Source organism: Homo sapiens, chromosome 3 (assembly GCF_000001405.40).
Source record: "Homo sapiens chromosome 3, GRCh38.p14 Primary Assembly".
Lineage (NCBI taxonomy): Eukaryota > Metazoa > Chordata > Mammalia > Primates > Hominidae > Homo > Homo sapiens.
The window spans coordinates 135,137,945-135,149,992 of NC_000003.12; the positions used below are offsets into that span (position 1 = coordinate 135,137,945).

The following is a 12,048-nucleotide window of genomic DNA, read 5'->3' on the forward strand; positions in this document are numbered from 1 at the left end:
GCAAAGTCTGTATCCCAGTGAGCTAATGATGAGGTAGGAAGTGGAGCCCAGAACCTAGGTACCTGCCATTGGATGATTCTGATGCTCAGAGGAGCCTCTCTATCTTTCCTCATTGTGTATTTGAAGAAGCAACAATTTTCCCCTCACTTGCATGATCTTATCAGCACAATTTATATCTGACATTTATATTACATGCAGTTCATGTATGGCCTGCGTGCCACTTCCATGTGGAATACTATCCATCATGCCCACAACACAGACACAACCCATTATTTACTTTTCTTTTAAAAATGCTGCACTATTTCTGTTAATAGTTACAAGCCCCTATAGTTTGTCCATTTTTAAGGCACTTTTGAAGTTCTTAGACAGTTAAAATCACTCAGATACACTAATTTTCTTACAAAAGAATTACCTAGCCCATCAATTCCTCTGAATACATCACCTAATTTGCATTATTCCTTGGTTAAATATAGTATTTGCATGCATAAAGAATAATCTTTGAATATGAAAAGGAATTTTATGATATTGCAATATATTGAGCTCTTTGGAGGAAAGATATTATGTAAATCTCAAAATTAAATATTAAAACAATATTACACTGCTGCCTGTAAAAATGTGGAGTGTTAAGATCCATATGCTGAAGCCAGTTCATTTTTAAGGGCTGTGCTTATTGGAAATTAGCAGGCAAAATTTGCTCCAACACAGAGAAAAGATTGAGTGAGAACTTTAAAGACTAGAAGGACTTGAAAGAAAACTTTCATCGAAGTTAATAAAGAAAAGTTAAAAAAAACTTAAGCAAATAAAATTTTCACTGTTCTTAATTCAATTTCATAGTTTGTTTCATTGCTTTCTTCTCATTGTTAATTCTAGAAAATTTTGTTTTTATTGTTTCTTAAGCTCTGGCATTGGGAAGGAACTTCCAAGTGGCCTCAGAAAGGCCCTGGCCATTTGCAAACAATGATGTGTTCTCCGTTGAGCTCAGAGGGTCGGCAGATGGCACTGCCCCTGACCAATGTCCTGGCTTCTATCCTTGGCAACCTCGCAGTCCTCCACCAGATGGTGAGCTATGTGGAGAGTCACACTTTCTCACCTACCACCAGTTTCCTGAGAGAGCAGCCGCACAATGCCAGGCACAGAGAGCCTTGATAAATATTTGCCAGATGGCTTCAGTCCCCACAGATGAGCATTAGTATGTAAGTGTTTGGCTGGGGAGTGGTGATGAGAATGTGTCCTGGTGACCCACAGGTAACATCTTAATATCCCTCCCAGATTAGTCATGTAATCTGGAGTCTTCCTCCACTGTGGCTCCTTGCAGGAAAACTTAGGGAATGTTGCTTAGGATGATGCTACAAGCCCTGATCCACTCAGAGGAACACAGAAGAGACTCAACCACTCTCAAAGGGATTGGTTTGTTTGGGCATTTTAACTTTGGAAATGTATTCATTCACTTAACACATTCTTTATGACTGCTCACCAAGTACTGCTTGCAAGTACTGGCTCAAGGGTACTGCTTTTTAGGGGCTCCCATTTATTCGCCTACTCGTCAAATATTTTTCAAGGCCTTTCTGCATGCCATATACTGCTCTAGACACTGGGAACACAGCAGCAAACATAACAGACAAAAATCTGTGCCTTTGTGGAGCTTGCATTCTAGTCGACAGCACTCACTGAGACTGGGATCAGAGGCCCAGAAAAGTCACAAAGTAAGCAGGTGACTGATTGGGAAGTGACTTGATGGGGTGCAGGACCCTCAGCTGGGCTCTTGGTACCACCCTCTTCTGTGGTGCCCATTCTTACATTTCAAAAGTTAGGATGGAACCACGTGTCGTTGCCAGAGAGCATTTCAGTTTGTGGTGGATGTTGCTATACAGTGACAATGTGTTTGATGGGATATTTTATTGTTCAACAGACCAGTTTGAATGAACTCCTTGTGGATGGATATCACACGCTGGGACACACAGTGGTTGGGTATGGGAATTCTCCTTCCAGGTTGTGAGCAGTGGCTTGTGATGCTGCTAATAGCTCCAGAACAGCCTTCACTCTGCTAGGAGTACCAGAGTGCCCACAGGACTCAGGGACCTATTTGCTTGTTTACTCCATCTTGGTCCAGGCACTCCAAGTACATAGCTTCAGGAGTAAAAATGGCTACTGACAATGAGACTGGAGGAAATTTCTTACCCTGTAAGGATCTCATATCCACATGAGATTGTTATAACCCTTATTGGAGAGGGGACACCAGTTGGATTATTAGATAGTTGCTGTTCACCTTGTGAGCTATCCCATAAAGAGGCATCTCATAAAGAGGCAAAGAGGATGGGAGGGAGGAGGGTGCAGGTGATCCATCCTCCATGCTCCTGTGGCAAGTCAAGTCAACTCCATGAACTGACTGGCATCTCCAGGAGAGAACGCCCTGTATCCATCCTGTTGACTATTGTGTCCAGATAGGCGTCTAGTTGGGTACCTGAAATATAGAAAGCAATCAATAAACGTTCATTGAATGAACTAGTAACTTGTTAAATAAATACATGAATGAATGCTTCAGTCTTTCTTAAAGTAATCTCAGGCATCAGCAAATGGTGCAGCTTTAGCTGTCTCTGTGATCTTTCCTTTATCAGGCACCTTTGGGTGGGGAGCTGTGATTGCAGTTACCCCTTACATTCTCCCAGATGTTGGTAAGACCTCAGGCTTCCTGTGTGCACTGCACCCCCAAACCATAACCATGTTCTGTGAGAGTTGCTCTTCTATGACCTGGCCTGTCCTACCTCCCCCACTGGCAGGGTCCCAGCTGCTTGAGCAATTGCAGGGAGGGTGGTTGGGATGGCATCCCAGCACTGTTGTCTGTCCCCCTGCATGCCAGCCCCGCGCCTATCATTTTCACAGTACCATCCATGTTAAACAGGCAGGAGCACCAGGGGTTTCTGAATGCAGCAATTAACAAAACAGTAATCAAGCTAAGTGTTTAATTTCAGAAAATTAACATCTTCTCTGAGCGGATGTGAAAGATGGAGGAAAAAGGCACATTGAATGTTCTGGGTAAATAAAGGCAATGCTGGACCACAAATATTTTTCAGTGCAAGGTAAACTCTTTGCCAATCCCTCAGGCCTCGGGATCAGTTTCCTTCTGGTAGCCAAACTGCAGGAAAACCTTTGCTGTAGAATTGAGCCTTAGGATTTTAAAGCGTGTGCGCTTCTTTCCTTTCCTTTTTTTTTTTTTTTTTTTCTCTTTTTTGATGGAAGAGCAAACGCTTTCACCATTCAGAACAGCTTGGGGGAACAACAGCCCAGTCATGCCCCCTAAGAGCGCATCTGCCCTGTAGAAACGGTGACGTATGTTGCCCTTCTCTGAATTGTGCTTGTTAAAGGGACAATACAGTGATTTCTTGGATGTGCATTTGTTGTTTATGTGCTTAGGCTCTATTTCTCTTGGCAGACTGAGGGCTCCCAAGGGAAAAGGCCATGTCTTTCTCCTCCCAGTAAACCCTGCCCCTCAGCAATGTGTCCTCTGCTATAAGGTGTCCTGGCTGACCTTACACCATGTCACATGCTGGTGCTGCCTCCTAAACCAGCGGGCTGGTCTTTGTTTGCAGGAAGGGGCTTGCATGTAGGGAAGGAAGCTTGCTAGGAGGTGGGTGTGCAGGAGACTGGGTCCCTAGAAGGACAGTGAGGTCCTGCTACCATCTGTTTCATCATCTGATGGCCTGGATGGGAGTGAGTGCCTAGGATAGAGGATTGGGAGGGCAAGGAAAGTAGCTTTGTGTGAGGCATGCTATGAAGTTTGAGGCACAGACAGGCAGCCTTGAGACTGTGTGATGAGGTACCACCAGTAACCATGGAGGCAGGGCTCTCAGAGTGGCATTGAGCCTGGTGCTGCCTGAGGAAGCACTGAAAACCATGTTCCCACAGGACCACAGGTCCTCAGGGAGGGGCCTGGCCATCTGGCTTAATAAGCAGTGTTCCTTGAGGGGTCTTGAAGGCAGCTGACATGGAGAACAAAGAAAGCAAAGCAGGAGAATGAGAGTATAGTTTGCGAGTACAGAGGAGACCTCCCCAGGGGCTCCCAGAAGTATTCAGGGACTGCATCAACAGAAGACAGGTTCGATTCTGCACATGCATAATTTGTGGAGAGTTTGAGTACTCAAATCAGGATATTACTTATGCAGTTGGATATTCAGGCTTCTATTTTCTCTGGAAGGTGGGAAATAAGATTGGTTGCTGAGAGTGAAGGGGGAAGTATTGGGGTTGAAAGTTTGAGGAGAATGGAAAAGGCTTGGCAGTGCTATTGAAGAGAATGGGAAATGGAACTACCCAGGTAAATTCAATATTTCTGGAAAGTATTGAGAGCTCATTTGAAGTTGGTGATCACACGTTTAGAAAGCCACCTCTTTTTCCTCTTATGTGGCTTTCTCAGCAGTATATGGTTCCGGGACAGCAGGCCCTACAAGAAACAGATCACAAATATACCTCTGGTTGAGTTTTGACAGTCATATGCTCTGAAAAGATAAAGGCAACATATGCCTAAGGTTTTGAGGAGTATTGTGAATTATGTTATTGCAAAGATGGAGCCTAAGATGGATAATAATGGATATGAATAAAGGAGAAGGCAGATGCATTGGGTGGAAGTAAAGGCCAAGAGTGCCAGATGAAGCCAAAAAGAGTTGCAGTGGGCTCATCTGAGGTTGTGGTGAGGAAGCAGAATATTTAGACTTGTGATTTTGAAAATCGAGTGACTTTAGGCAAAGCAGAGTCTAAGTGTGCCATGGAAATTGGCAGGCATGGAAGAGTTGTAGAGGCCAGGGAACCGAGATTATATTGTTTAAGTGGACATTGAACTCACACACAGGAGGGCAAGGCTCAGGGTAGAGAGGAAGACAAAGACTGAAGCTCATGCCTCCGATGAATGGGGGCGTGACGGTGGGAGGGAGCATATGGTGGTCCCAAGACCTGGAGAGTGGTGGTCTAGCCAAATGGCATTTTTGCAAAGGGTGCAGGAGATGGCGAGTGATGGTGTGAAAGAGACAGTGGGGAGCAAGGATGACACACCCCACTTCCTGACCCTGAGGTGTGCTGGATGCAAAATCATAAACTGTCATCAGGTGAGAGGGCTGCAAGGCAAAGGTGTCCTCAAGGGACAGCTGCTCTTCCTTAATGCAGGCATGGAGTGAAGGCTCTGAGGGAAGGAGGTGGGTACAGGGGAGTTTCCTGATTTGTAAGTGGAGGGCCCAGGGTGGGGGTGGGCTCAGTAGTCAGTGGGAAAGTCAGAATCAAGAAGAGGCCCACAACTCCATGGGGCTGGTGATGTCCAGAAAGGGGCTAAAGAGTGGGCATGGCAGGATGGAAGCCCGCCTGTGCAGCCTGGTGGGCTGCTCTGAGGAGGAGGGGCTCTGGACCTTCAGGCCAGAAGACTCAGACCTCCAGGCCTGGAGGAGGATGGTCACAGTGACTGCAGGTGCAGCTCCCCTGCCCAGCGTTGGTGGCAGTGATGTCAGCCTTAGGGTGGTGGTGGTGGGTCCTCCAGCTGCATTAGGGGTTTGGCTGAATGTGTGGGGATGAGAGCCAGGTGTAACAGGGGCACACAACTTGCGGTGGGGTATCTCCTGTGGCCTCTCCACTGCTAGTGTTTGGAGTGGACTGCCGTTCATGATCAATCATTAAACAGACCAAAGCTGCCAGTGCTCTGCTCTTGTCCTACACCTGGGAAAGGCTGGCAGGCCTGAGGGGAGGCAGAGGCCAGTGACATGCCCCAGTTGACATGTGAGTACCAATGGTTGTGTCCTCAGCAGCCATCACAGTGCTTAGATGCCTGCCTGAAGAGTATCCTGCTCCACAGACACCTCCACAGCCTCCCATGGTTGCAGGGTCACAGAATGCAGGTTTGCTATAGTTTTCACATAAATGGCACATTCTAAGACATCTTTTGATTCCCCCAGCAGGGAGGAGGAGCTGTGGAAAACTGCCAGGTTGCAGTGACCCAGGAGGCAGAAGTGCCACCAGGAACACACTGCAGCCTGCCTCCTCCTCCAGGCACAGGGCTCTGCACACTTCCACCATAGGTGGGGACCCCTGATCTCCCTAAGTGCACAAGGGGTCCCAGAAGGCAGTGCCCATCCATTAGTGATGCTGATGTAACTCAATGTCCCCACCCCCATGCCTGGCCTCCTCAAGGCTCTGGAAATGCAGAGTGCATGAGTTGTGGGGAGGGAGCCCTACACTGATCTCAGGGAAAGGAGGCCCAGCTGTTTCTGGTTCTGCACTAACCTCTGGGGACTTGGGGAAGTCATTTTCCCCTCTCTTATCTTCATTGCTCTAATCTATAAATTGTAAGAGTTGACCAAAACTGAATGGCCTCAGATGCCCTGTCAAACTTTGACATTCTGATTTCTAGGTTTCCAGACAAGCAGTTCTCAAACTTGAGAATGTGTCAGACTCCTGTGAAAGACTTGTTAAAACACAGATTGCTGGGCCCACACCCAGAGTTTCTGATTCACTGAGTCTAGGATGTTGCTCTAGATTCTGCCTGTCTTACCAGTTCCCAGGTGAGGCTGATATGGGACTACATTTTGAGAACTTACAGGGTCAGATATATGATCCCAATAAAGAATGCCACCCCACCCTCAAACACATACACATCAAAGGTAACATCAGAAGTGAGGGCCTGTGCTATAAATCCACATTCCCAGATCAGCCACCAACCCTCAACCCCCACCTGTCACCCCCCACATTCCCCTTTGGCACGGAACCGAAACCCTTAGTGGATGGACCAGTGAAGGAGGAGCCTGTGACTCCCTGCCTTGGGGTGTGAGACTGAAGGCCAGGCATGAAGCCCTCACTTTTTATCCCATTCACATCTAAAATTCAGCCAGGATTCTACAACAGCACAGAGCAGAGCTACACACCCAAGGAAGTCCTCTGTCCCCAGGTGACTCCCAGGGTAAGGAGGAAGATAGGAAGGGAATGTCAGAGACATCTCAAGGCAAAGCCCAGAGTAAAAGCAAACAAGAAACCAATGTCCACAATAGAGGAAAACAATGAGAAGAATAATTAATTCTGCTTTTGTATTTATACCCAGTCTCCAAATTAATTGCTTATTTGTTTAATCTACTTTGACCAGAAGTGTTACTGCACCAAAAATATTTAATGAGTCAGGTCTTCTAATGTAAAATTCAAGCATATTTGGGCAATGAAATGAGTTTTCATCTACAGTGGGAGATCCAGCTATCTAAGCAGGACCTTTTCAGCAAAGTTACCTCCTAGAATAGAAATGTCAGAGGGAACACAGTTCATCTGTGTTGCAAATTGTTCTTCTTTGGTCATGAGTACTAGTGGGCTGGAAGTCTTTAGTTGACATTTAAATACAAACTTTGGTTTTTTGATATGGGAAGTGTTTCATATATTTAAAAAAAAGATGGCCAGCCAGCCCAATCCTTCATTCACAACCCCATCACTCATAGCTTCTAGGATCTCACAGAAGTCCCTCGAGGGGACTTCTGGAGACTGCTCAGCATTGTTTGGGTCTCTCTATAAACTTTTCAGAGTCTGGGTTGGGGAGATAGAAAATGGACTGGCTTCAAGGCCCTAGCAGCTCTGATTCACCCAGAGCAGCTCTGCATTGTTCTGTTTCACACTTTATACTTCAGGGAGAACTTTGTTTGGAGAAAGGATTTCATAGCTTTAAAAAATAGAAAACTGCCAATATTAGGGTAACGTTACAGCTGAACAATCCCAGTGAGATGGGGAGGGACCCAGCCTGCTAGGTGTCTTCATTTACACCACAGAGAAGAACTTCTATCTCTAATCCCTTGGGACTACCATATTCAGGCCTATTCTATGTTCTTTGTGAGATGCAGTCTCAACCCTGCTGACTCAACCCTGCCGAGTCACAACCCTGGCTCCCTTTTCCACCTCATGCTCCTTCAAAGGCCAATATTCATGTTTGTTAGAACTAAGGGATTTTCTGACTCCTTTTACCTCTGAGGTCTTTAGAGAAGAGCCCGCAATCATTGCAGTAAGAGTAAATTTTTGTTGAACATTTATTATGTGCTAGCACAGTGTGAAGAGGCTAAAAACATGGTCCTTGCCTAAAGACTTTATTGCACTGATGGAGAGCAGAGGTGAGCACCTCGGAAGGTAGATCACAGTGCACTGTGTCCCAAAGTGGAGATCACACCCCAAGGGGCTTTGGGTTGGGAGGCAGGAAAGGGCACTCTGGTGGGCATGGTCAGGCAAGGATAAGCAGTGTGGGGCAGTGTGAGGCTCCCCCTGTGCCTTCAAAGGCCGGCAAGGTCAAGAAAAGAGATGCCCACAGGGAATGGAATTAGGGCTTTTTCTAGTGGTGAGCCATTGAAGGTTTTTAGCATTGGAGTAACAAAGGTAAAATTGAGTTTAGAAAGATTAATATGGCTACAGAGTAGTTTGAAGTGAAGAAGTTAGAGGTGGACAAGAGAGTTAGGATGGTAAGTACATGAGGCACAATGAGATACAGGTGACGAGACCTGTGGAGAGGCAGTGGCAGGGCCATGGGAGCATCGGGGGCTCCTGGGCCTGAGCCACACATTAGATGGGAAGGCTATGCTTGTTCACTGTCCAGAGTCACTCGGTCTCCTTATCCTTAGGGACAAGATACCCTATCACTTACTTTCTAGGTTGCTTCAGGTTATCTCAAAATGTTCAAGGGAAACCAGCTCTCTTCTGGAGCGTTTATCACTCCAGCCTCTGGGGAACCCAGCTCTTTGCTAGCTTCCCCTTTCTCCAAGCCCATTTGTATCTATCACATCCACCATGGCTTGGTCGACATATTTATATATCCTCTCAAAGATATTTATCAGATAAATACCTGAGGCTGTCTCTGGATCCCACTTTTTACATTTACCTTGGGGAATGATGCCCAGTGATTGATTTGCATATGTGAACAGCAGTGGACCCAGAAGGATAGTTTGGGGTGGTTGCCAAGTCCCCAGCCTGGCAGGTGGGATCTGGTTGAAAGGAGCAAGAGACCACACAGAGAACATCTTCAAAACATTTGGGAAATTAATAACATAAGAATTAATATTCCTATTTTACAGTTGAAGGACCTGAGGCCCAAAGAAGACAAGGCCTTGGGTTAACCTTATCCCAAGATCACATAATAAGCAAATGGCAGAGCCAGAATAGGCACACACATCTCTCTGCAGCACCTGGAGGGCCCTGACAACAGCCCTTCTTTATTTCTGCTAACTCCTGCTGCTCTGAGCTGGGCCCTAGGCTCCTTACTATTCCTTACCTTACCCGTTTTCTTCACAGCTATGGTCTGTGCTATAGATCACAGGTAGTTAGTCCAAGGATGATTTGGCTGGGAAACGCTGTTCTAGAGAGAATAGAAGAGGTTAGTATTACCATATGATCCAGCAGTTCCAATCCTAGGTTGATTCCCAAGAGAAATGCAAACATATGTCCACACAGAAACTTGTGTATGAATGTTTATAGAAGCATTATTCTTCAACTTGTGTATGAACGTTTATAGAGGCATTATTCTTCAACCCAAATATTCCTCGACTGAGGAGCATTTCTCCCAGACAAAGCAATGCCCTATGAGGGTAAAAGTGGTTACCAAGCCTTAGGTTCACACTGTGCAGGCTGGGGCAGCAGCATCACTCTGGGGGGTCACTGGGAGGGCACCCTCCAACACACACACTGTATGGAAGGGCCAAGGAAAACTACTCTACCCTGTCCACCCATGAGTTATTGTGTTGGGGAGGCAGATGGCCTCCTCTTTGTATGGGTCTCCTTGGGAATTTTAGATGTGAAAGTACCTCTCACTGGAAACAGCATTTGCCGTCTAGAAGAGTTGCTAGAGCATTTGCCCAAGCTAAGGCAGAGGCAGCTCAGCTGTGACCTACATCTTCCTAGAGCTGGCAAGAGATGTCCTCAAACAAGGCTGTCCCCGTCACAATTTCCACCCACACACACAACACTGTTTTCCCTTTTAGATAAGATTTGCTGAACTCTGAAATCTGAGTTTCATAATTTTATAACCTCTTTAAACATTTTACTCCAATAGATCAACTGAAGTCTGAGTGTATGTACGTTAATTTTAACACAGTAAACTGTTATATCATTTGTTAGGTCCCAAAACTGATTATGGTTAAAACTGTTGAAAGAAGTATTTTGGCACAAAAATCAACTAAAAGATTGTGAAGTATTTTTAATAAGCATTGTAATGTATTAAAACTTAGTAATTGTCCTAGAAAAAAAGCATCAAGTAAATCTTGTATTTTTGGAATCTGAGATGCTTAATTGTTGGAGGAGGATGCCCCTATCAGATAAGGAAAACAAAATGAGTAAGAAGAAACCTTTGAAGATAACTGAGTCGGTAACTAAATTAAAGTGTCAAGGAATGTCATAAACATAAAATGCTTGGCCCACGTGAACCTGTGATATGACAGTAAAACTCCTGCACATCAGAACTCTAGGATCCAGAGTCTGGGTTATTAACTTTTGAGATAGAGTCATGCCACCATCTCAGACCCAGCCTGAGTCTCCTGGGACTTCACAGTTCCCTTTGGGACCGTTTGTACAAATGGAGGGCTGTCTGGTGGTCTGCCAGGCTGCATCTTCGATACTACTGGCAGTGACCAGTGGTCAGTGACTAGTTTGGGCCAACATTTGTTCCACGTCATCTGTGAGCTCTTTCACAACTTGCAGCTAGGGCCATCCTGTCCCTGTAATTTATTCACATCTCCTTTGTCAATTCAGGCAAGAACATTCTGTGCTCTTCCTCTGCTGTATGTGATATACTATCTTGGATCTGTCTGCTTTAAAAGCAATTTGAGAGTAAGTTTTCCCCAAAGTCTTTGGTGGCAAAAACAGAGACAAAGGACTCACTCACTCAGCCTGCCTTTGTTTTTCTCCATCCCAGAGCCCCTTGACCAGTGATGTTTTAATTCTCTTTCTGCTTCTGACACATTTACAAGGCCTTTTATTGTTGGCTATAACTCTCTTCTTCGACACTCTCATTCTGATTCTGTTTGAACCCTAGTTGATTTTTCCTTGGAGTCTGATGACACTCTTCTTTGCTCTTTGCTCTCCTATTTGGGTGCCTGTACTCTGTTGGGTCAGCCTCTTCATTTGCTAAGAAAGGGTGCAGGGCACCTTTGATTCCATTTGGATTTACCGGGCACTGCCTCTTTAGACCTCACACATCTTTCTTGAAACTTCATCAGGTTCTTTCCAAGTAACCCCAAACTAAGTCTTTCTGCTTACGTTTTCTGAAGAAGGGTCCATATTTGTTTCTTTGCTAAATTTGAATAATCTTGTGAACTCTTTATTTTCATTTCTTTCTCTCAGTAGAATGTGTAATTTATTCAAAACCTTTATGTGTGTTTGCCAAAAAGAGACTCTTTCAGATGTTCAAGCAAACTATCCCTTCATCTGAGGAATATAGAGAAAAGACAATTAGCCAGGACTTACTGTGAAAACCATTGTATATGGGGGCAAAAGGGGATACTTCTTTGAATTAATCTTCTCATCCCTCTTTAATCTTTAGCTTTAGTTTTGCTAGAAGAAGTTGGTGTTTGAGTGAATACCAGAGCTCATTCTTATTATTTTCTGTTTTGTCCGAAAGTTTCATAGCACATAAAACAACAGATCAAGAGGTGACATTTGCCCTTGGAGAGGGAAAAACCAAATTCATCACTGCAGGTGACTGTTGATGGCAGAGCACTGAACATAAGCTGCCCGTGATTTTCAGGGAGGATAAGAAATGCTTTCTTGCTTTCTCCCATGTGCTAAATCCCATCGTAATAAAATGTAAACCATTTAGAATGACCTGTGTGAGAATACACAGTCTTCCACAGGGCCTGTAACCCTCATGTCATTGCCATGAATCTGAGAAATACAGGCAGGGATGGCCATCACCCTCTGGCAGCTCTTCCCAGACCCGAGTGCCGCTGACTGCTGGGGAGTCCATACCATGTGTAGTGACAGGAGCGTTTCTCTCCATGGATTTCACTGTCAGTTGCCTCTGGATCACTCTGCCCTGTGATTGCCTCTTTACCATCTGACCCCAACTAGACT

At 45.3% G+C, this 12,048-nt stretch overlaps 1 protein-coding gene and 1 long non-coding RNA gene across 2 annotated transcripts in view; one reads left to right on the forward strand and one right to left on the reverse strand.

Annotated features, from left to right (window-relative positions):
- EPHB1 (EPH receptor B1) overlaps positions 1-12,048 on the forward strand; it is a 465,208-nt gene that overhangs the window by 342,685 nt on the left and 110,475 nt on the right. The gene's annotated exons all lie outside the window — the stretch shown is intronic.
- Positions 1,878-9,958, reverse strand: LOC102724019 (uncharacterized). The gene is made up of 3 exons (XR_427412.4): positions 9,786-9,958; positions 9,257-9,340; positions 1,878-2,461 (listed from the first exon to the last, which is right to left on the reverse strand). It is a non-coding gene; the product is annotated as an uncharacterized LOC102724019 (long non-coding RNA).